At 40.9% G+C, this 24,637-nt stretch overlaps 1 protein-coding gene across 22 annotated transcripts in view; it reads right to left on the bottom strand.

The window, feature by feature from the left end:
* Nucleotides 1–24,637, bottom strand: part of DRC8 (dynein regulatory complex subunit 8) — a 155,548-nt gene that overhangs the window by 103,574 nt on the left and 27,337 nt on the right. For 12 of the 22 annotated variants that reach the window (XM_017002543.2, XM_017002542.3, XM_011544301.2 and 9 more), the window contains 2 exons: nucleotides 19,424–19,535; nucleotides 4,330–4,414 (listed from right to left, as the gene is read on the bottom strand). The exons of 1 other annotated variant lie outside the window; for it this stretch is intronic. In XM_017002543.2, the coding sequence (XP_016858032.1) occupies nucleotides 4,330–4,414; nucleotides 19,424–19,478 (140 nt within the window). In that variant the 5' untranslated portion in view covers nucleotides 19,479–19,535. Of the gene's footprint in view, nucleotides 1–4,329; nucleotides 4,415–4,676; nucleotides 4,775–19,343; nucleotides 19,536–24,637 lie in introns of those variants that run through there. 9 more of the 22 variants (NM_032328.4, XM_047432067.1, XM_047432068.1 and 6 more) reach the window with 4 other exon arrangements.

Genomic DNA, 24,637 nt, shown 5'->3' with positions numbered 1-24,637 from the left:
GAGAACAGCCTGGGCAACATAGCAAGACCCTGTCTCTACTAAAAATACAAAAATTAGATGGGCGTGGTGGTGGGCACCTGTAATCCCAGCTACTTGGGAGGCCAATGCAGGAGAATTGCTTGAACTCAGGAGGCAGAGGTTACAATGAGCCGAGATTGGGCCACTACAATCCAGCTTGAGCCACACAGTGAGATGCCATCTCAAAATAATAATAATAAAAACTATATATATATAAAGTAGAATAATTATAATAGCTAATACTGTTCTTAGCTTTAAATCCCAAGCTAATATTGTTCTAAGAGCTTTAAAAATGTCCACTCACAATAGTGGTTCTCAAACTTTTTGGTCTGATAACTCCTTTTACAAACTATCAAAAATTATCAAGGCGCTCAAAGCGTCTATGTTTGTGTGAGTTATATGCATCTATATTTACTATCATATTAGAAATTAAAGCTTACATTTTAAAAATATGTATTTATTAATTCATTTAAAAATCATAAATCAACCCAAATGTTTACATAAATAGTTGTTAATTTTTTAAACTATATTTTCCAAAACAAAAAGTATATTTAGAAGAATGGCATTGTTTTACATTGTTTTACATACGTTCAATGTAAATATGTAACACCTGGCTTCACAGAGGACAGCTGCATTCTCATATCTAGTTCTGCGTTCAATCTGTTGTAAAACTGCACGTCATGTAGCCTTTGAAAAACTCCAGTATAAGGCTGGGTGTGGTGGCTCACGCCTGTAATCCCAGCACTTTGGGAGGCCAAGGTGGGTGGATCACCTGAGGCCAGGAGTTCATGACCAGCCTGGACAACATGGTGAAACCCCGTCTCTACTAAAAAAAAAAAAAAATACGAAAATTAGCCGGGCGTGGTGGCGGGCACCTGTAATCCCAGCTACTTGGGAGGCTGATGCAGGAGAATTGCTTGAACCCGGAAGGCGGAGGTTGCAGTGAGCTGAGATTGCACCATTGCACTCCAGCCTGGGTGACAGAGCGAGACCCTGTCTAAAAAAAAAAAAAAAAAAAAAAAAAGAAAGAAAAACTCCAGTATATACTTGTGGAAACAGTGAGAATGAAAAGAACAAATACTGTCTTAAATTTATTATGAAAATAGTTATGACTTCACAGACCCCGGAAAGGGTCTTGGGGGCACTCTGAGAACTAATTACTTATACTATGAAACCTAGGAGGCAAAGGTACATGGAGGCACAAAGAGAATAACAAAGTGACTCGCAGTCACGGAGCTGGGATGGGAACCCAGGAAGTCTGATTCCAGACCTCAGGACTGCCCCTCAGAGGTGGAAGGGCAGTAGCAGGAGCCCAGCTCATAATGCTTTTGACAGTGGGCTGGTGGCTGCCCAGCATTTGGAATACCAGACTTTCCCTTTATCTAATGCAATACAATTTCAAATCAAATATTTCAATTTGTGCAAAGCAGAGATAAGGGAAAGGGAAAGTAGCCACCACAAAATTCTAAGACCTAGACCTCTCAGGGGACCTAGATCAGCCCTACACAGGAAGTAACACCAAACCTCCACCTGAGGGATAAAGCAGTTAGGGGAGGAACAGCCAGTGCCTGGGGGCGGGGGGCGTCTCCAGGAACAGCTCTCTCTGTCCTGCCCCCACTGAGCCATTACATATCTCTCCCTCCGTTCAAAGACACTTCTTTCTTTTTTATTTTTAGACAAAGCCTCACTTAGTCGCCCAGGCTGGAGTGCAGTGGTGCAATCTCAGCTCACTGCAATCTCCACCTCCTGGGTTCAAGAGATTCTAATGCCTCAGCCTCCCAAGCAGCTGGGACTACAGGTGCACACCACCATGCCCAGCTAATTATTTTTATTTTTTAGTTTTTAGTTTTTATTTTTAGGAGAGATGAGGTTTCACCATGTTGGCCAGGCTGGTCTTGAATTCCTGACCTCAGGTGAGCCACCCACCTTGGCCTCCCAAAGCTTAATTTCCAATTTATAAAGAGTGGCCGAGTGCAGTGGCTCACACCTGTAATACCAACACTTTGGGAGGCTAAGGAGGGTCTATCACTTGAGGCCAGGAGTTCAAGACCAGCCTGGGCAACATAGCAACACCCCTGTCACTACAAGAAATAATAATTAGCTGGGCGTGGTAGTCCTAGCTGCTTGGGAGGCTGAGGCAGGAGGATCACTTCAGGAGTTCAAGGTTACATACAGTGAGTTATGATCAAGCCACTATAATCTAGCCTGGAGGACAGAGTAAGACCCTATCTTTAAACGAATTTTTTAAAAAGAGTGGATGGTAATGATACCAGCAGCATGAGAACATTCATTATAAACTTTAAAGTGATATACAAATTAACACAGGAAAAATTATAAAGCTACATTCATCCATGTTGTTATTCCTCAAATATACTCAGCAGCAATATTTTAATGCTAAAAACAATAACAATTTTCTTAGTAACCATCTTTAATTAACAAAGCAGACTCTTTAGGTTGTAAGAACATCCACTTTCCCTCAGGGCCTCGGTAAAGTTATTTTAACTTTCAATGGAAAAAAAGATTCAGCCCATAAACACGTTTTCTTTTACTGAATTGGCCCTTTTACCAAAAAAGGCCTGGCATCATTGCTGTCAGTGATCGGGAGATTTTCTTTTCACTGCTACTGTCAGGAAGCCTGAAGGCAGAAGAGAAGCCCCTGATGTCTCTAAAGAGTAGGAGTGGGAGTGTGGGCAGTGTGGCATGCCCACAGTGTAGCAAGAGACTTGGCGTTAGAGAAACCTGGTGTGACATGGAGCAAACGATTTACCTTCTCCTTGTCTCTGGAAACCGGAGATGCCAACCCTTAACCCATAAATAAAAAGATTAAAATGAGGTAATCCACGTGAAGCCTCTGGCACCCAACTACACGTAGTGTGTTAGATGACAAGCCTCAAGCAGATGCTGGTTTCTTTTCTCTCTTTTCCCTCTCTCTCATAATGCCATACTTTCCCTGACTTCTCTAACAATACCTCTGTCCCCCGCCCCCAGGAGGAGAACCCTTCAAGGAGAGGTCTGAGGTCAAGGCACTTGTCATTCATGTAGTTAGTTATTCAAATTGCAGGCCGGGCTGCCTGCTGCACCCCCTCCCTAACCCTACCACCACCACCAGCACCCTGCCCACTCATTTCCTACTGGGATACCCACAGGAAGGCCTGGTGTTCCACAATGTCATTCCCACAGAATGCAATGTGACCACAGCCACCGGAGCTGTATGGTGCTGCAGCTCTGATGGCACTGGTTTATAAGCATCAAACAGTTCCTTTCCAGAACCATTTTCAAACCACTTCCCACTGCTTTGCTGGCCTCTCTACTAGGTTCTGGTCTTGAGATTGCAATCTCATCAAATAACCCTCATTTAGCCCGGCCTCCTGAAAGGATGGTTTCATTGCCTTTTTTTTTTTTTTTTTTTTTGAGACAGAGTCTCGCTCTGTCGCCCAGGCTGGAGTGCAGTGGCATGATCTCAGCTCACTGCAACCTCTGCCTCCCGGGTACAAGTGATTCTTCTGCCTCAGCCTCCAAAGTAGCTGGGATTACAGGTGCCTGCCATCGTGCCCGGCTAGTTTTTGTATTTTTAGTAGAGACAGAGTTTCACCATGTTGGTCAGGCTGGTCCTGAACTCCTGACCTTAGGTGATCTGTCCACCTTGACCTCCCAAAGTACTTGGATTACAGGTGTCAGCCACCACGCCTGGCTTCATTGCTTTTCTTTGATGTGTGTGGCACAAACCCTACAATTCTTATTAGCGTCTAATCTCTTCTCTTAAGGGGTTTTTTGTTTGTTTTGTTTCAGTCCCAAGCTGTGTCCTCCATTTCAGACCTACCAGTATTCATGTCTTCTCTTGCCTTTTTATGTTCTTCTGTTTGGGTTCTTTTTGCTATTTTACAGGGGGAGTGTGTCATCGCATAAGCATTACTGTTTCCTTGCAATATCCTATTTGTGGCCTTATAATACATATTTATGTGTTTTACAAAGCAAATGCTGTTCCTTCACTCAACGACTATTTCCTGAGTACCAACTATGTGCCAAGCACTAAAGCTAAAATAGAGTTCATCTCAGTCACAGAGTTTACAATTATAGGTTGGAACAGGCAATGAGAATACAGTATATTGTTTCTACCAGAGTATGAAGAATAAGAAACAGTACTTATCAAAGCAATAGCTAGCAAAGACCTTTTACGGAGCATGGAAAATAAATACTTAAAAGAGCATAATAAATCCAAGGTACAGTGTAAAAAGAGAAAATAGCTCTCTTGTATCTTATGACTTGTATCAGTAATTTAAAAGTGTAACAAAAAAAAAAATATTTCCACACCTCACATCCACTGTATTATTCGACTCATGGTCAAAGACTTCAAATGCCTCTTTGATTTTTTTGTGAAATTCTGCTACTATTATCTCTGCAAAAGACAAAGTAAATAAAAATTAGTTTACTTTAGCTTTGAATTCAAAACAAAAATTCTAATAACCAGACTAGCAATCTTAATAAGTAAGCATATGAAGAACCCTCTCCTTATATTTATGTATCATTTAGCATGTTTAACTTCCTCTGGAGATGTCAAAGGATACACTGTATTTGTAAACATTTTTTCTGAGGCAAAATATACATATGGTAAAGGTGCACTGATCTTAAATACACAGCTTAATTAAGTGTTTACATACGCATATACTCATGGAACCACTCAACCACTCCAATCACGGTGACAGAATATTTCCAGCAGCGGCCTCTCTATCTCAAGTCCTTTGGGTAGAGTCGTAGCCTGAGAGGCACAGTGAAACCAATAAAAACAGATACTGTTTGCTTATCAACAGTGTTCCCTGCCTACCTTGCCTTATTCTTTGCTTGTGGAGTTGGGGGAAGAAAGGCATAAAAACCAACATGACATTTACTCAAAAAGCTTTCAAACTAGTTTTGGACTATGACTTACATATATGAAACACTCATATATATATTCAGTAAACAGTTACCTAGTACTTACAATGTGCTAAGGTTATGGCAAGGAACAAAATAGAAAAAAATTCCTGCCTCCATAGAGCTACTTTTATTGGGAAAGAAATATAAGCTCGTAATATTCGATAAAATACATAGTAAGGCAAATGGTGTGAGAAATAGAGGAAGGAATAAACAGGGTAGGGACACGAGGAGTGCTGGGCGTGGGTGGGGGAGAATGGGTTGATACGGTGGTCTTAGAGAGGCCTGCCTCTGTGGTAAGGCGACCCTTGGGCAGACACCTGAAGGAGGGGAAGGAACCAGCCTTATGAACAACTGCAGAGTTTTCAGGCAGAGAGAACAGTAAGTGCAGAAGAGTAAGAAATAAGATCAGAAAGGTATGAGTTTGAGGGTGATTGTAAAGAGGCCTTGGCTAGGTGCGGTGGCTCACACCTGTATTCCCAGCACTTCGGGAGGCCGAGGAGGGTGGTTCACCTGAGGTCAGGAGTTTGAGACCAGCCTGGCCAACAGGGTGAAACCCTGTCTCTACTAAAAATACAAAATTAGCCAGGCATGGTGGCGCATAACTGTAATCCCAGCAAGTTGGGAGGCTGAGGCAGGAGAATTGCTTGAACCTGGGAGGCGGAGGTTGCAGTGAGCCGAGATTGCGCCATTGCACCATTGCACTCCAGCCTGGGCAACAAGAACAAAACTCCATCTCAAAAAAAAAAAAAAAAAAAAAAAAAGCCCTGTAGGCTACTTTAAGGATTTCGGCTTTTACTCTGAATGAGATGAGAAGCCGCTGAAGGGTTTTTCCAGGCAGCACAGTGATGCGGTCTGCTGATCACTTTGGCTATTATGAAAAGGGTGGAAGCAGAGAGACCAGTCAGGAGGCCTCTGCAATACTCCAGGTGAGAGATGTGGGCCAGAATGGTAGCAGTGAAGGTGGTGAGAAATGTCAGCATTCTGGATATATTCTTTCTTTCTTTTTTTTTTTTTTTTGAGACAGAGTCTCTCTCTGTTGCCCAGGTTGGAGTGCAGTGGCTTGATCTCGGCTCACTGCAACCTCCACCTCCCGGGTTCAAGCGATTCTCTTGCCTCTGCCTCCTGAGTAGCTGGGACTACAGGCGCACACCACCATGCCCAGCTAATTTTTTGTATTTTTAGTAGAGACAAGGTTTCACCATGTTGGCCAGGATGGTCTCGATCTCCTAACCTCATTATCCACCCGCCTCAGCCTCCCAAAGTGCTGGGATTACAGGCGTGAGCCACCGCGCCCGGCAGATTCTGGATATATTCTAAAGAGCAGAGCCAACAAGATTTGCTGATAAATTTTATGTTAGGTGCAGAGAGAAAGAAAAGGGTTAAGGCCAACTCCAAGGTGTTTGGCTGAGTGAAAGAATAAAGGACAATAATGTAATTAAGTCTCTAAATTGTGCTAAGCATGGGAGCTCATGCCTATAGCAGTTTGGTAGGCCCAGGCAGGAGGATTGCTTGAGGTCAGCAGGTCGAGGCTGCAGTGAGCCATGATCACACTACTGCACGCCAGCCTGGCGACAGAACCAGACCTTGTCTCAAAGAAAAGAAAAAGGTGTCAAAATGTATCAAACAGTAAATACAGTAGGACACCCAGAAAGAAAGAGATTAGGCATGAGTTTAGGTAATTATTTCAATTAGAAATATAATACCACCCAATAGTAGAAAATAGGAAATTTTAAAATCAGTCAAATTCTCTTCCCCCTAACATAACTACTCATCATTTTGCTGTATTTTCTTCCAATCTTTCTTCATACATATTCTTTTATATATGGCATTGAATAACTACCATTCACTCACTCAACAAATATGTACTGAATAAACACTATACACCAGGTTCTACGTCAGGTACTGTATATACTTTTACAACCGTAGAGAAAAAAAGAAACCAAAGCTCAGAGAGGCTAAGCACCTTGCCCAAGATCACAGAGTTATTGAGTGGCAGAGCTGGACTGAACTCAGATCTTCCTCATTTGAACAATCCTGCTCTTCTCCCCCCACACCCCACCCCACCTCACCTCACTCCACCCCATCCCACCTGTTAGTACTTACAGTATAAAATCTTAACTCCTTAATTACTTCACGTAAATGTTATATTTTTCCAGGTTGCAACATAATTTACACAACCTTCCATTTTTAATGGTACCAAAATAATACACCATAATTTATTGATATTATTTTTTCTTTATTATAACACAGCAATAAACTTTTGCTAATTTAACAACAAATAAATATTACCTCATTATTTAAATTTACACTGCTTTGATTACAAATGAATCTGAATAATGATCCATATGTTTGTTTACCATCTCTGTTTTCTATGTTATGAATTGTCTATTCATGTTCTCTGCTCAACCCTACTGGGATCTTCAATTATTTCTTTACAATTTGCATGACCTGTTTGAATAATAAAGACTTAACCCTATGTCGAAGTTACTGCAAACAATTTTCCAGGTCAGTTGTTTGAACTTGTTTTTCTAAAATGAAAACAGCTCCATTTCCTTTCTGATGATCAAAATCATACACAATTACTGGAGGAAAAAGACACAGATGAAAGTTTAAGTTAAAATCACTTCAAATTCTACCCAGAGTTAACTACTCTTTTCTTTTTTTCTTTTTTTTTGTCTTTTTTTTTTTTTTTTTTGAGATGGAGTCTTGCCATGTCGCCCAGGCTGGAGTGCAGTGGCATGATCTCGACTCACCACAACCTCCACCTCCCAGGCTCAAGAGATTTTCCTGCCTCAGTCTCTGGAGTAGCTGGGATTACAGGTGTGCACCACTACCGCCAAGCTCACTTTCGTATTTTTAGTAGAGACGGGGTTTCACCATATTGGTCAGACTGGTCTCAAACTCCTGACCTCAAATGATCCAACTGCCTCAGCCTCCCAAAGTGCTGGGATTACAGGTGTGAGCCTCTGCGCCCGGCCCAGAGTTAACTACTTTTAATGTTGTTCTCTAATCTAATTTCTCACTCAGCAATAAATTGGATCTTTCATTCTCAATAAATATTCATTACCTTATTATTTTTAGTGACTGCCTGATATTCCATTATAGAGCTTTATCAAAATGTATTTAATCAACCCTCCAATTGTGGATGTTTAGTTTCTGATTTTTCATTATTATAATCAATAATCAATTCTTTATTGAACAATCCTGCCCAATTCACCTTTGTATATTTGCCTTATCTCACTGAAATTCAACGAGTTGAACACAGTTGAACTAGCAAGGTTCTTATTAGCCATAACAGTATCTTGGGAAAATCTCTCTGGTTACGACACTGCCACTGCACAAAGCTGATGTTTGGTTTTTAAATTTAAGGTCATTTTAAAAGTACATTATCCTTTATTTTTAGGTAGTCACATCTGTTGAGATTTCTTCTCATACTGTAAAGTTGAGAAACTTATCCTTTGAAAGGCCCAAGAGAGAGACAAAGAAAAATCACCCTTTTTCTCGAGGTCTGGCAAATACTTAATTCTATTTTCTTCAACAATTTACAGATAGATTTACTGTGGTTTGTTTGTTTGTTCTTTGTTTTTTGTTTTTGACACTGGACAACACACTGAGTAATTCATCTGAAGTTTATTTTGATGTGATTCAAAGTGAAAGATTAGCTTTTCCTACTTTACCAGGTGCTTGATTCCTTGCACTTTATCGTGTATTATCATCTTTTATGTGATTGAGATTAATTCTATCAATTGTCCATTCTGTTAATTCTATTCTGATTTGCATTTCTAGTCTTGTGCCATTACCATAGCATTTTATTTATTGCCACTCTATTAGCCTCTTTTTAGGAATGTTCATCAATACCAATTTATTATTCCAAAGGAAATACAGAAATCCATATACAATTTAGAAATTCCAAATGAAATACCATTGAAAGTTTTATTGCTATTGCAATCAGCTATACATTGAGAATTAACATTTTAGAATAGTTTTCACATCTAAGAGGTGTATATTTAGATATATATATCCCTTATAGATCTCTAAATTAAATATTACATATTTTGAGGTTCGTCATGTAAGTCACACACAATCCTCCAAGAAGATGATGCCTGAGTATTTTATGGGTTTTGTAGATATTGTGATGAAATATTTTTTCGAGCCCTGTAATTTCAAGTGTTTGAGGTAAAAATTGAATTTTTGCTATTGATTATATATTTCCTGAAAAATGTATTAATTAAAATCTTTCAGTTGATTATTTTATATTTTCTAATAATACTTTTTGTATTATCTTCTTATTGTATCTTATTTCTCTGTCATGACTCATGGCACTGGCCAGCACTACCAAAGCAACATTAATGCATAAAGTGATAATAATCCATTTTATAAAAATATAATTATTATTATTAATAATCTAGAACACTAGTCTTTTACCAATAAGTATAATGCTGACTTTTGTTTTGAAATAGGTAAAACTTATAATTTATAATTTTATCCTTCCATCTCTAAAGAACAGGCACTAACTTTATTTTTTAGTTTCCAAACTTTATTTGCATATTTTAAAAAGTGTGCATTCCAATAATTTAAAACATTTGAACAAAACAAATGGCACTCTGATTAAAGTGCATTTACAGCCTGCAAGGCATGAATTTTTAATAACTTCTTATCAATATATTTTCTAAACTGTGTTCTGTTTAACACTCATTCCTCAAGGTGCTTCTCTTGAACTCCTGACCTCGTGATCCACCTCCCGTGACCTCCCAAAGTGCTGGGATTACAGGCATGAGCCACTGCGCCCAGCCAGAGCTTCTCAATAAAAGGCTTCAGTGATCAAAAATGTCTGGAAAACTCTGAATATTATGGTTTATATATAATATTTATATGTAGTTCTATATGGTCATTTATAGTGTGTATTAGTATATTAAAGTCTTTGGAATGTTCTACAATCATGAAACTTAACTTTGTTCAACACAGCATTTCCCAAAGTCACTTGATCATCGAGTCTCTTTTTTCAAATTATCATCTATCAGGAATAATTAATGCCTTAACTGAAATCTAGGACTACCCTAACTCAGGAATCCTTACCCACTGGACATTGCAATACAAGTTAACCATCCCTAATCTGAAAATGCTAAATCCAAAATGCTCCAAAACCAAAACATTTGGAGGTCCCAGGCATTTCAGATAAGGGTCACTCAACCTGTACAGTATACAGTAACCTTCTAATCAAAACACAGCATTGCAGGCAGAGACTGAAAGTCCGGTGTTTGCTGTTGCTAACAGCTGACACAGGTATTCTGGTGATGCCACTGTGCTGCTTCATTACCTTGAACACATTATTTTTTCACTTCATGAATGGTACTTCATATTTTTTACTGGTAAGTACTTCCGTGTGAATAAATGTAAGAAGATGATTGCTTATCAATATCAATTCCTATCAATTTAGGGTCAGGAATGATGCTGATGCCAAACAACCAGCTTGTCCTCATGGGTGGCTGACATAGTGATATTTTTGCTTTCTGATGGTTCTATGTAGAGAAACTTTGTTTCATCTACAAATTATTTAAAATACTACATAAAATTACCTTCAGGCTATGTCTATAGGGTTTATATGAAACATAAATGAGTTTCGTGTTTAGACTTGAATCCCTTTCCCAAGATATCTCATTATGTATATGCAAAGATTTCAAAATCCAAAAAAATTAGAAATCCAAAATACTTCTGGTACCAAGTATTTTGAAAAAGGGATACTCAAGGCTGGGCGCGGTGGCTCACACCTGTAATCCCAGCACTTTGGGAGGCCGAGGCAGGCAGATCAAGAGGTTAGAAGATCGAGACCATCCTGGCTAACACGGTGAAACCTCATCTCTACTAAAAATGCAAAAAATTACCCAGGTGTGGTGGCGGGTGCCTGTAGTCCCAGCTACTGGGGAGGCTGAGGCAGGAGAATGGCGTGAACCCGGAAGGCAGAGCTTGCAGTGAGCCGAGATCGCACCACTGCACTCCAGCCTGGGCAACAGAGTGAGACTCCGTCTCAAAAAAAAAAAAAAAAAAGAAAGAAAAAGGGATACTCAGCCTGTAAAGTGGATGGATTAAAGGGGTACCCCAAAATACTGATCCTCTTATCTCTCATCTCTCAGTGTGGCCAGATGAAGTCAGGCCCCAGAAAGCAGTCTATTCCAGAGCTTCCCACAGGGGGACCAGGGCACGACAGGCTCCGATGGCAGGCCTCCTGTTCTGCACAGCGACAACCACAACAAATGCCATCAGGCACCCACTGCTCCCCATTGCCAAGTGTGTGACATATCATGTGGTCTTCTCCTTCAGAGGCCAGATACAGAATGCACCATTACCCAGTAGAGAGCTCCTGGAGAAGTTTCTGTTCCAGGTGCCCAAAGAGCATAGTGTTCATTCCAGTGTGCAACTACTTCAAACTGACAGGGCTCATGGCTCTAGGAAGCAGTCCCAAATCTTTATCTTCACATACTATGGGCTACTTCCATGCCTCCGTAACTGATATGTCCTTTCAGTAGCAGCCAAGCTTGTTGTGCGGCCCTAAACACACATGCATGAGAGGTCGGGAGCGGTGGCTCATGCTTGTAATCCCAGCACTTTGGGAGGCCGAGGTGGCCAGATCACTTGAGGTCAGAAGTGTGAGACCAGCCTGGCCAACATGGTGAAACCCTGTCTCTACTAAAAATACCAAAATTAGCTGGACGTGGTGGCGCACGCCTGTAGTCCCGGCTACTTAGGAAGCTGAGGCAGGAGAATCACTTGAACCTGGGAGGCAGAGGTTGCAGCGAGCCTGAGCCAAGATTGTGCCACTGCACTCCAGCCTGGGCAACAGAGAGAGACTCCATCTCAAAAACAAACAAACAAAAAACACATGCATCATATATAAATTAAATCTTCATTACTTTGAAATAATTGATATGAGACAGTTCAACTGGATTAAAAAATCATTTGGGGGGCTGGGCGCAGTGGCTCACGCCTGTAATCCCAGCACTTTGGGAGGCCGAGGAGGGTGGATCAGGAGGTCAGGAGATCGAGACCATCCTGGCTAACAAGGTGAAACCCCATCTCTACTAAATGTACAAAAAATTAGCCGGGCATGATGGCGGGCGCCTGTAGTCCCAGCTACTTGGGAGGCTGAGGCAGGAGAATGGTGTAAACCCAGGAGACAGAGCTTGCAGTGAGCAGAGATCGTGCCACCGCACTCCAGCCTGGGTGACAGAGCGAGACTCCAACTCAAAAAAAAAAAAAAATCGTTTGGATTATTAGAAAATTTTCCAAGTTATATTGGTTAATTAAAGGAGAAGTTTTTAGATGATATAATTTCAACTGGTTTGAAATATTCCAGGCAGGAGTATCACTGACAAAGGCACAGTGAAAAAGCACAATCCAGCCGGGCACAGTGGCTTATGCCTGTAATCCCAGCACTTTGGGAGGCCGAGGCAGGCGGATCACAAGGTCAGGAGTTCGAGACCAGCCTGACCAACATGGTGAAACCCCTGTCTCTACTAAAAATACAAATTAGCCGGGCGTGGTGGTGCGAGCCTGTAATCCCAGCTACTCAGGAGGCTGAGGCAGGAGAATCACTTGAACTTGGGAGGTGGAGGTTGCAGTGAGCTGAGGTGGTGCCACTGCACTCCAGCCCGGGTGACAGAGCGAGACTCAGTCTCAAAAAAAAAAAAAAAAAAAAAAAAAGAAAAGCATAATCCTTGGGAAACTACAAAAATTTGTGCGAGGGCCAGGTGCAGTGACTCATGCCTCTAATCCTAGCACTTTGAGAGGCCAGGCTGGGGGCACTGCTTGAGCCCAGGAGTTTGGGGCCAGCCTAAGCAACATAGCGAGACCTCACTTCTACATACACACACACACAAAATTTTTTAAAAAGCAATTAGCCAGGCATGGTGGCACATGCTTATAGTCCCAACTACTCGGGAGGCTGACATGGGAGGATCCCTTAAGCCCAGGAGTTCAAGGTTGCAGTGAGCTATGATAGCACCACTGCACTGCAGCCTGAAGGATCTTGCTCTGAAAATTTAAAAAAAAAAAAAAAAAAGTGTGAGAACATGTTAAGAGATCACATTTTTGAGATAGGTAGGGGCCTAGTTCATATTTTGATTTTTTAATGGTTGGGAAAAATGCTTTTACATTTCTGCATGAACAGTTACTCATTGGTAGTAAATGATCAAAAATTGAAGAGCTCATATTAAAGATTTTTTAAAATCAGGAATTGAGTACAACTATTTCAAGCAAAAAGTTTGATATTAAAAAGTAACACGTTGGGAAGCAAGCTCAAGTTCCACCTTTAACATTTTAAATACATTTGGAACTTTTAAAAAAGGGTCATCATTTTAAAATTTCCTAATGCTCTGTTTTATTTTCTTATAAATTTTTTTACATAATGAAATACATAACAAAATTTTTTAACATAATGATTTTTTTAATAATCAAGCCTCATGTAGAGTCCCAAAGCTCATCTAGTTTTACCAGATATTGTGTGCCACACAAATATTATTTTCCATGCTCAGGGTTTTTGTTTGTTTCTTTGTTTTTGAGACAGAGTCGTGCTCTGTCCCAGGCTGAAGTGCTGTGGTGAGACCATGGCTCACTGTAGCATCAAACTCCCAGGCTCACGCAATCCTCCCGCCTCAGCCACCTGAGTAGCTGGAACTACAGGCACAGACCACCATGCCTGGCTAATTTTTTTTAATTTTTGTTTTCATTTGTAGAGACAAGGTCACTCTGTGCTGACCAGGCTGGTTTTGAACTCCTGGCCTCAAGCAATCCTCCCACGTTGGCCTCTCAAAGTCCTGGGATTACACACGTGAGCCACTGAGCCTGGCCAATGTTTAGGTTTTAAAGTGATAAAAGCTGAGAAGCACTACCCCAAAGTCATTACCCATCTTGAAGTCCCTTTCAGAACTGGCTGCTCATTCTCCCGTGGCTTACCTATCTCAGGGACTTGGGGAAGGTTAGCAATAGAGAGCTCCCCATTGCTACTCATAGCCCCATACTCCTAATCTGCCATATTTTTTGCCAGCTTCTCTAATGAAGGAAATTTTCAAACACACAGAAAAGTTGAAAGCTTAGTGTTACAAGCAACTCTATACCCACCGCCTAAACTATTGTTAATATTTTGCCATTTTTTGATTCCTCTTTCCATGTCTGTCTGTCTCTAAGTCAATTGCAGACATCAGAATAATTCATCCCTAAATACTTCAGCATATCTCCTAAAAATAAAGACATTCTCCTGCATAATCCCAATGCTATTATGACATCTTTAAAAATTAACAAAAATTCACTAAGATCATCTAATATCTATTCCATATTCAAATGTCTCCATCTGTCCCTAAATGTCTCATAGGTATTTTTTTCATACTAAAATCCAATCAAAGATTATGTACTGCATTTGGCTGTTACATATTATTTTGTTCTCTTTGAAACTAAAACAGTCCTCCATCCTTCCCCACCCCTCCCCACACACATGAAATTAGCTTGTTGAAGAGACCAGGCTTTATAGCATCATACAGAATGGCCCACAACCTGGACTTGTCTGGGAGCATCCTTGTTTCAACTTCATATTAAAAACTACTACTCTATTAAGGTTCATCACTTGAGGACACATAATCTACTATTCCTTCTCACTGCTATCTTCTACTGATTCCCTGATCACAGTCCTCCAAATTTCTCATTCTAACAAATTCATCTTCCTAATTCTATTTGATCATCAACACCTTTCAACCTTTCTGGGGTTTTTTGTTGTTGTTGTTGTTGTTGTTGTTTGTTTGTTTTTGAGACAGAGTCTTGCTCTGTTGCCCAGGCTGGAATTCACTGGCGCAATCCCAGATCACTGCAACCTCCACCTCCTGGGTTCAAGCGATCCTCCCACCTTAGCTCCCCAAGTAGCTAGGACTGCAGGCCTGTGCCACCATGCCCAGCTAATTTTTGTGTTTTTAGTAGAGACAGGTTTTTGCCATGCTGCCCAGGCTGGTCTCAAACTTCTGAGCTCAAGCAATCCACACATCTCAGCCTCCCAAAGTGCTGGGATTACAGGCGTGAGCCAGTGCACCCGGCCATCTACTTATAAACCCTTCTGAACTCTGTTCTTTCCCTTCCATTTCCATTGTCATTGCTTACGATTAGACTACAATCCCAGCACTTTGGGAGGCCTAGGTGGGTGGATCACTTGACATCAGGAGTTTGAAACCAGCCTGGCCAACATGATAAAACCCCACCTCTACTAAAAATACAAAAAAAAATTAGCTGGGTGTGGTGGCATGCGCCTGTAATCACAGGCTGAGGCAGGAGGATCACTTGAACATGGGAGGTGGAGGTTGCAGTAAGTGGAGATCGCACCATTGCACTCCAGGCTGGGAGGCAGAGCGAGACTCTGTCTCAAAAATAAATAAATAAATAAATAAACACTCATCACTTCCAGCTAAATTAATGTAGTCACTTCCTGCCTTTTTGCCTTTAGTCTCCTTTCTCTCACTTCCCATTCCACCCATCAAACCATAATCCACATTTTGCTAGGATGATCTAAAATGCAAATTTAGTAATTTGACCGTCTGGTTTAAAATCCTCCAATGGTTCGCAAGGCCTTTCAAACTAACATTCAGACTCCTTAACCAGGCGCACAAAGCCCTTTATGAACTTAGGCTCCTACCTATCTCAAAAATGTGATCTCTTCACACTTTTCCACACAGATGCACTAGGCAGGAAGTCTCTGTAGTGTCCCAGTGATAATGCTTTTTCCCAGTGCCTTTGTGATGGACACTCCTGCCTGGAATATTGCCCTCCGCCTTTGTGACGGACACTCCTGCCTGGAATATTGCTCTCCTCCTTCCTGGCTATCTCCCATTCGTCACTCACGTTTAAGAGTAACTGACCTTTTGAAGGCTTCCCTTCTCTTTTTTGTTAAGTACCCTCCTATGTAATCATGTAGCATACATGCTATCTCTATCATAATAGTCTATCAAACCATATTATAATTAGCAGTTTACTTATTTGTCTCACTTTCCATACTGTAAACACCTTGAGAATAACTCTGATAGTACCTGTAAACCTACTAAAAACTCAATAAGGCCGGGTGCCAGTGGCTCACGCCTGTAATCCCAGCACTTTGGGAGGCCGAGGCAGGCAGATCACTCAAGGCCAGGAGTTCAAGGCCAGCCTGACCAACACGTTGAAATCCCGTCTCTAACAAAAATTAGCCAGGTGTGGTGGTGTGCGCCTGTAATCCCAGCTACTCAGGAGGCTGAGGCATGAGAAAAACTTGAACCTGGGAGGCAGAGGTTACAGTGAGCCGAGATCACACCACCACACTCCAGCCTGGGTGACAGAGTGAGGCTCCGTCTAAAAAAAAAAAAATTAATACCAATCTACCAATCCTTCACAAAATCTTCCCAAAAATTGAAGAGACGGAAGCACTGCCCAACTCATTCTATAAGGCCAGTATTAACATGATTTAAAAAAAAAACAAAACTGAGACATAAGAAGAAAACTACAAACCAACATCCATTATAAATATAAATGCAAAATCCTCAACAAAACACTTGAAAACATAATCCAGCCACTTTATGGGGGATTATCCACTATGACCAAATGGGATTTCTCCCGAGAATGAACATATGAAAACCAATCACCATAATACACCACATTAATAGAACGAAGAGGAGCAAAAAAACCATGTCATCTCAATAGACACAGAACAAGTATTTGACAATACATAACATCTTTTCATTATAAAAACACTCGGAAAACTAGGAATAGTGATTTGATCATAGCACATTATGTGTACATATCAAAATGTCACACTGTGCTCCATAAATATGTACAATTATTATGTGTCAATTAAAAAATACTTCTTAAGGTTATTGTTTAAAAGAAAACTAGGAATAGAAGTGAACTTCCTCATCAGGATAAAAGGTATTTATGAAAAACTCACAACTAACATCATACTTAATGAATGGCAAAAGGTATTCTGCGTGCCCTTAGAATAAGCATGTCTTAGAAAGGAAATGTCTGTTTTATGTTAATCTGGCACACACGTTAAGGGGAGCTTCTACTGTATTTCTGAAGCTACTTTGGTCTAAGTTTATAGCACAGATGCCAAAAGCATGCAGTTTTGGGAAATGTTAGAGAAATGGCCAATATACAAAATATCCTTTTAAAACATATAATTCACTGAGTGTGGTGGTACATGCCTATAGTCCCCGCTACTCAGGAGGCTGAGGTGGGAAGATCACTTGAGCCCAGGAGTTTGAGACTGGGTAACATACCACCTTTAAAAAAAAAAAAAAAGTATCATTCTAAGTTTTGTAATGAGAGTACTTTGAGAGTCAGGCTATTTGTTACTGATACACTGTGTCAGTATACTTTTGTTTTTCATTTTGTTTTGTAGAATACAAATTCCTAAAGAGTTTCCTGTATACTCATCTAGAACTATTCTAAAAAATATTTAAGAGTGAGAACTATAACAATTTTGTCATGTAAAAAAAAAATCAATCCAAAGCTGGGTACCATGGCTCACACCTATAGTCCCAGCTGCTCCAGAGGCTAAGGCAGGAGGATCACTTAAGCCCAGGAGTTTGAGACTAGCCAGGGCCACACAGTAAGACCCCATCTCAGAAACAAACAAACAAAAAAATCAATCCAAGAAGGAAATACTCTACGAGTAAAATATTGTTTGATTTAGTCCAATTCTCAAAACTCGAAGGTGGCACATGCCTATTGTCCCAGCTACTCAGCAAGCTAATAGCTTGGGCCCAGGAGTTCAAGTCTAGCCTGACAACATAGGGAGACCCTGCCTCTAAAAACAAAACAAAACAGGCGGTAGTTCACACCTGTAATCCCAGCATTTTGGGAGGCTGAGGGGGGAGGATTGCTTGAGGCCAGGAGTTCAAGACTAGCCTGGGCAACATAGTGAGATCCTGTCTCTACAAAAAAGTTAAAATTCTAAAATTTAAATTTAGCTGGGCATGGTGGCACATGCCTGTAGTCCCAGCCACTTGGGAGGCTGAGGTGGAAGGATCACTTGAGCCCAGGAGGTCAAGGCTGCAGTAAGCCATAATTCCACCACTGCACCCTAGCCTGCTCAACAGAGCAAAACCCCATCTCAAAAAAAACCTCCAAATGATGTCAATCTTCCCCAAATAGGAAAACATAATTATAACAGAGATTACAAAAGAGGCCAGTAAGTATGTATATATTGCTGGTTAAGAGCACTGACCTGGAGCCAGCCACCATTGGCTTTACCATGTACTAGCTGTGAGACCTTGGGCAAGTTACTTAACCTCTCTGTGCCCAAGTCTCCCCACTTGCCACATGGTGATAATAATAGTATCTTCTTTGGAAACCAGTATCGTAGTTCCTCATAAAGTTACACATCAAATTACCATATGATCTAGCAATTCCACTTCTGAGTAAATAACTAAAAGTATTGTAAGTGGGAACTCGAACAGATACTTACACACCAGTGTTCACAGTAGCATTATTCACAATAGACAGAAGGTGGAAACAGCCCAAATGTCCATCAACAGATGGATAAACAAAATGCGGCATACACATACAATGGTATATTACTTAGCCTTGAAAAGGAAGGAAATTCTGACACATTCTTATAGGGTAGATGAACCTTGAAGACATTATACTAAGTGAAATAAGTCAGACACAAGACAAATTATTGTATGACTCCACTTATCTGAAGTACCTAGAGTGCTCAAACTCATTAAGGCAGAAAGCAGAACGGTAGTTTCCAGGAGGGGGAGATGTGAAGTTATTGATTAATGGGCACAGAGCTTTAGTTTGGGGTGACAAAAAGGTTCTGAAGTTGGATGGTGGTGGCGGCTACACAACAATTTGAGATACTAATTCTTAGGTGTGCTTTTTAAGTGATTACCCTTTATATTAACAAGGTTGATTTTTTTTTCTCTTACTTAAAAATAATTCAAAATACTAAAAAAAAAAAAAAATCTTCCAGAAAAGAAACTAAGGCCTGAGCAACATGGCAAAACCCTATCTCTACAAAAAAACACAAAAATTAGCTGGGCGTGCTGGTGTGCACCTGTAGTCCCAGCTACTCAGGAAACTGAGGCAGGAGGATGGCTTGAGCCTGGGAAGTCAAAGTGAGCCGAGATCACACCACTGTACTTCAGCTCGGGCAACAGAACAAGAACATGTTGGAAAGAAAGAAAAGAAACTAAAGAAACATAAGGAAAAGTTCAAATTCTTGCTCCTTAACTTCCCTATAATGAAACAGAATGAGAGTACGCAAGGTGGGGATAGGCTCAAGTTTTTTTAGTAAGACACATTGAAGGAGTTTGGATTTTATTTTAAGGACAATAGCTATCAAATGAAGATTTATAGAGTAGGGAGTATCTGGCTAGATGTATAATCAATGAGGATAACTTAACTGGAAGGAAGCAAGGCTGGAGGCAGAGAGATGGTTAAGCGATTGACACAGTGATGGGGAGGAGGTATGAATGCACTGTACCCTGTGTTCCCCATAACACCGTCATTGTGTGATGGTCTCTTCTTCCACCTTCCATTAGATGTTCGATCAGTAAAGTCCGAGGCCTTATCTCATCACTGTTGTATCCCAGGCCCTAGCATAAAGGAGACACATGAAGAGTACTTGGTGATCAATAAAAATTGTCATATGAGTGATTACGTGATGAAAAAATAAATCATCCCTGGTATTTTCACTTCAAAGCAAAATCTGAGAAAGGACCATGCTTTCAAATAACATTCAATAAACATTTATTGATGGAAGATGACCTCAAAGAAGAGTAAGTCAGTAAGGAACATTTCTTGAACTGACTGAAACCTAACATTGAGTATAACTATTTCTTTCAAGAAATTAGCTAGGGAAAAGAGAACTGAAGGGTTGGCAGAACCAAGAGAAAAAAAATTTAGAAAACTTGAGAATGTGAGGAAAAAGGACGAACTCAGTCAAGACAGCAGTCTAAAGATGTAAGTTCTTATTGCCTGTAACCTGTGCCTTCAACTTCATCCTTCACACTGTTGCTAAAGTGGTGGGCACAATATGTGTATCTGATGACACTTCTCAGCTTCAGTGCCCCACCATCTACGGGGTAAAGTCAAGGATCAGGAGCAAGACACAGGAAAACCTCCCTGGCTAGTCAGCTATTCCTGCCTTGCTCTTGACACCACCTGCAATAACTCCCCAGGGTGAGAGAACCAGTCCCAGGCCAGTTACATGTGAACCACCCAAAAATATAGATCTATAAGCTCTGCCCCTGGAAACTCTGACTCAACAGGTCTGGGGTATGGCCAGGAATTTGTATTTTTACAAAGGTCCTCAGGGGACTCTGATGAGCCACCAAGTTTGGGAACCACACTGTATTAGTATAACATGGCATTTATAAAGAGCACCAGGTTTTGCATCCAGAAAGACCCCAAAACAAATCCCTCCTTGATCCTTTATAGGCTAAATGGTCTTGGGCAAGTTAACTATTTTCCCTACGTATTGCAGAGATTTTTCTATTCTAAAATGGGAATAATACCTTAATCAAAGAATACTGTAAGTATTAAATGAGAAAATATATGTAAAGTACTTAACAAGTATACATAAACATATACTATGTATGTATGTAAACTCAATAGATGTTAACTGTTAATAACTCTATTTAACACCTAACTGTTCAAACCATCTCCACCTCCTCACCATTCTCAACTTTTGTTCATGCCCCTCTCTCTGCCTGGTACTTTCCCCTGATTTTTTTTCCCCTGCTGGCTGCTGCAGTCTCCTCCACCAAGCCTCCACTGACATAAGCCCAATCTTCCTTCCCTCCTAGGGGAGGGCCAAGTACCTATCCTCTATGATTCCACAGTACCCTGTGCTTACCCCTCTTCATTCATTCAATAATATTTATTGAGCACCTCTTAGGTATTAGACACTGAAGACACATTTTTTTTTTTTTTTGAGATGGAGTCTCGCTCTGTTGCCCAGACTAGAATGCAGTGGCACAATCTGTGGTCACAGCAAGCTCCGCCTCCAGGGTTCACGCCATTCTCCTGCCTCAGCCTCCAGAGTAGCTGGGACTATAGACACCTGCAACCATGCCCAGCTAATTTTTTTGTATTTTTAGTAGAGACGGGGTTTCACCGTGTTAGCTGGGATAGTTTCAATCTCCTGACCTCATGATCTGCCTGCCTTGGCTCCCAAAGTGCTGGGATTACAGGCTTGAACCACCGTGCCTGGCCACTGAAGACACATTCTAATAGAAAATCATGTATCAAACAAATTACACAAATGCAGCAGTCTCCCTTTGTCCACAGTTTCACTTTCCACAGTTTCAGTTAGCACACTCAACCGTGGTCCAAATATATTAAATGGAAAATTCCAGAAATAAACAATTCTTAAGTTTTAAGTTGCACGCAGTTGAGCAGTATGATGAAATCTCACGTCATTCCACTCCATCCCTTCTTCATCACAAGAAGGGTGAGTACAGTACAATAAGATATTTTGAGAGAGAGACCAGTCACATAACTTTTATTACAGTATATTGTTAAAACTAATCTATTTTATCATTAGTTATTAGTATTCAGCTCTTGCTGTGCCTCATTTAAAAATTAAACTTTATTGGCCGGGTGTGGTGGCTCACGCCTGTAATCCCAGCACCCTGGGAGGCTGAGGCAGGTGGATCACCTGAGGTCAAGAGTTCAAGACCAGCCTGGCCAACATGGTGAAACCCCATGTCTACTAAAAATACAAAAATTAGCTGAGTGTGGTGGCACATGCCTGTAGTCCCAGCTACTCAGGAGGCTGAGGGAGGAGAATTGCTTGAACCCGGGAGGCAGAGGTTGCAGTGGGCGGAGATCCAAGATTGCACCACTGCACTCCAGCCTGGGTGACACAGCAAGACTCCGCCTCAAAAAACAAACAAAACAAAAAAACAAAAAAACTTTATCATGGGTATGTATGTATAGGAAAAACCATGGTATATATAGGGTTCAGTACTATCCATTGTTTCAGGCATCCACTGGGGGTCTTGGTGTAGTATTCCCCATGGATAAAGTAAGGAACTACTATAATTACAATCATGATTAAATTATTGCACAGCAATTATTTGTGTCTGTCTTTTTCCCACTAAATAATAAATACTTCAAAGCTATATCAAATTCATCTTTATATCTCCTGTATTCAGCAATGTCTGACAAAAAAGGAATATTAATAAATAATCTTAACTAAGAAGGAAGGCTTAATTAATGATGAGGGGTCCTGGAGAAGACAAGTGTGGATGACATCATGAATATAAATGGAAAAATTAGCCTTGAACAAGAGAAGGAAGAGCTCTTCTACTAAGATAGCTAAAGGGAAACAGGAAAAGACAATGTTGATTAGGTACATTTAAAGACAGAGGCAACAAGTGAAGGGATTCCAGGCCTAATGGCTCCTATTTTTGAAATAAGAAGCAAGATCATCTAGTGAGAATTTGGAGGTTAAAGTTGGATCAGGAGGCTTTTTTTTTTTTTCAGGAGGCTTAAAGGCAGACTTCTCCCCATTCCCAAGCCAGTAGTGGGCTAAAGTAGACATTTGTCAATATTGCTGCCTCCTCCTCCACTTCCTCCTTTTTCTCCTCCTTCTATTCTTCCCCTCCCCTTCCTCTCCTTTTCTTTCTTTTTTTTTTTTTTTTTTTTTTTTGACCCAGGATCCAAACATTCGTTGTCTTTTGAGGGAATCCTATTATGTATAATATTGGCAGAAAAGTGTCTACCTTCTCACTAAGTAAGCCAAAGAAGGCAGATCTTTCCTCTCCCAGCTCCCTGGTAGCAAAGGAATAGGCATGTGACCTATACTCAGCCAATCAGATGTTCTTGTGCAAGATTTTGAATCCTAAGCAGGTAATATAAAAATGGAGAGACAGTATTAAAATTATTTATGGGAATGGCAGAAGAAATAACAGCAAGAATGTAGGAGCAACAGCACATTAACCACTGTCCTAGTGCCATGGCATTAGCTGGGGTATATGCTGCTGGGCCTCTTTGCTTCCTGCCCATTTTCCAAGCTGGTTCTCCAGCTTCCCTGTTGATTTTGTGAGCTACCTACTATCTTCTAATAAATTCCTTTTCTACTTCATTAGCCAGAATCGTTTGATATTAGCCATTTGTTTGACTGATAAGCCAATTGGGGGAAGGGGGTCAGCCTAGACATCTTGGTAAGATCCAACACCGGTATTATATATGTAAGGGAGCTGGGCGCAGTGGCTCACGCCTGGAATCCCAGCACTTCAGGAGGCCAAGGTGGAAGGATTGCTTGAGCTCAGTTCAAGACCAGCCCGGGCAACATAGCAAGACCTCATCTCTACTAAAAATAAAATTTTAAAATTAGCCAAATGCAGTGGTGCACACCTATAGTCCCAGCTACTCAGGAGGCTGAGGTGGGATGATTGCTTGAGCCCAGCCATTCGAGGCTGCAGTGAGCTGTGATCGCATCACTGTACTCCAGCCTGGAGAACAAAGCAAGACCTGGTCTCAAAAGAAAAAAGAAAAATAAAATAAATATATATGTAAGGGAGCAGAGTACCTCTGGAAATTAGGAGATGGTGGTCAGTCAATAGAATGAAGGAGTCAAGATTTCAGAGTGTCTTACAGTCTAAAAGTCATGATAGTAAAATGTTGGAAAGAAGTGGAAGTGAAGGTCACTGGAGTTGAAAAGAACAAGGATGATGAAACTAGCATGTTGCATGGTAGTCCACCTGGCTACTGAAGCCACCCAGAATGATAGTGGAAGAGATGGACAGAAAACTGAGAAAAGAGTGCCAAAGTCTTTGATAAACAAGGGATAAGCTACAGGCAGACTAATAAATGACAGTGACAAAGAATGACAGAAAATGATTAAGATGACACGAATTTCAGGGCCAGACACAGTGGCTCACACCTGTAACCCCAGCACTTTGGGAGGCCGAGGTGGGCGGATCACCTGAGGTCAAGAAGTCAAAATCAGCCTGGCCAACATGGTGAAACCTCGTTTCTACTAAAAATACAAAAAATTAGCTGGGTGTCGTGGAGGGCGCCTGTAATCCCAGCTAGTCAGGAGGCTGAGGCAGGAGAATTGCTTGAACCCAGGAGGCAGAGGTTGTGGTGAGCCGAGATCACACCATTGCACTCCAGCCTGGGCAACAAGAGCGAAACTCCGTCTCAAAAAATAAAAATAAACCAAAAAAAAAAAAAAAAAGATGGCACGAATTTCAAAGGAAGAAGAATTTTTACATGAGGGTGAAAGAACAATGATTTGGAATTGGAAGTAGACTGATTCAGCTTACTGGCTTGAAGACAAAATGGTATGGAAGAATGAACAGCTTTCATTCAAGATGGTCCCCGAAGAGTGGCATTCTAGCAGGAAAGCCAGGATTTAGTTAAGACAGAGATGAGAGGGGTAGTCTATAAAAAGAGTATTTGTAAAGAAGTTTATTCACGTTAGAGTAAGTCTGACGCTCCAAAGGACTCTATGGAAAGTGTTGGAAGGAAAGTCAGTAGAAGAACGAGATAGGATAGGTTAAAAAAAATAAAAAGGTCAGAGCTACACAATCAGCCCTCTGTACACCCATGGATTCAACTGTATATTGAAAATATTTGGGGAAAAAACTGCATCTGTACTGAACATGTACAGTCTTTTTTCCTTATCATTATTCCCTAAACAATACAGTATAAAAACTATTTATACAGCATTTACATTGTATTA

Source organism: Homo sapiens, chromosome 1, assembly GCF_000001405.40.
Source record: "Homo sapiens chromosome 1, GRCh38.p14 Primary Assembly".
NCBI classification, from domain to species: domain Eukaryota; kingdom Metazoa; phylum Chordata; class Mammalia; order Primates; family Hominidae; genus Homo; species Homo sapiens.
This window is presented reverse-complemented; position numbering and strand designations above follow the sequence as displayed.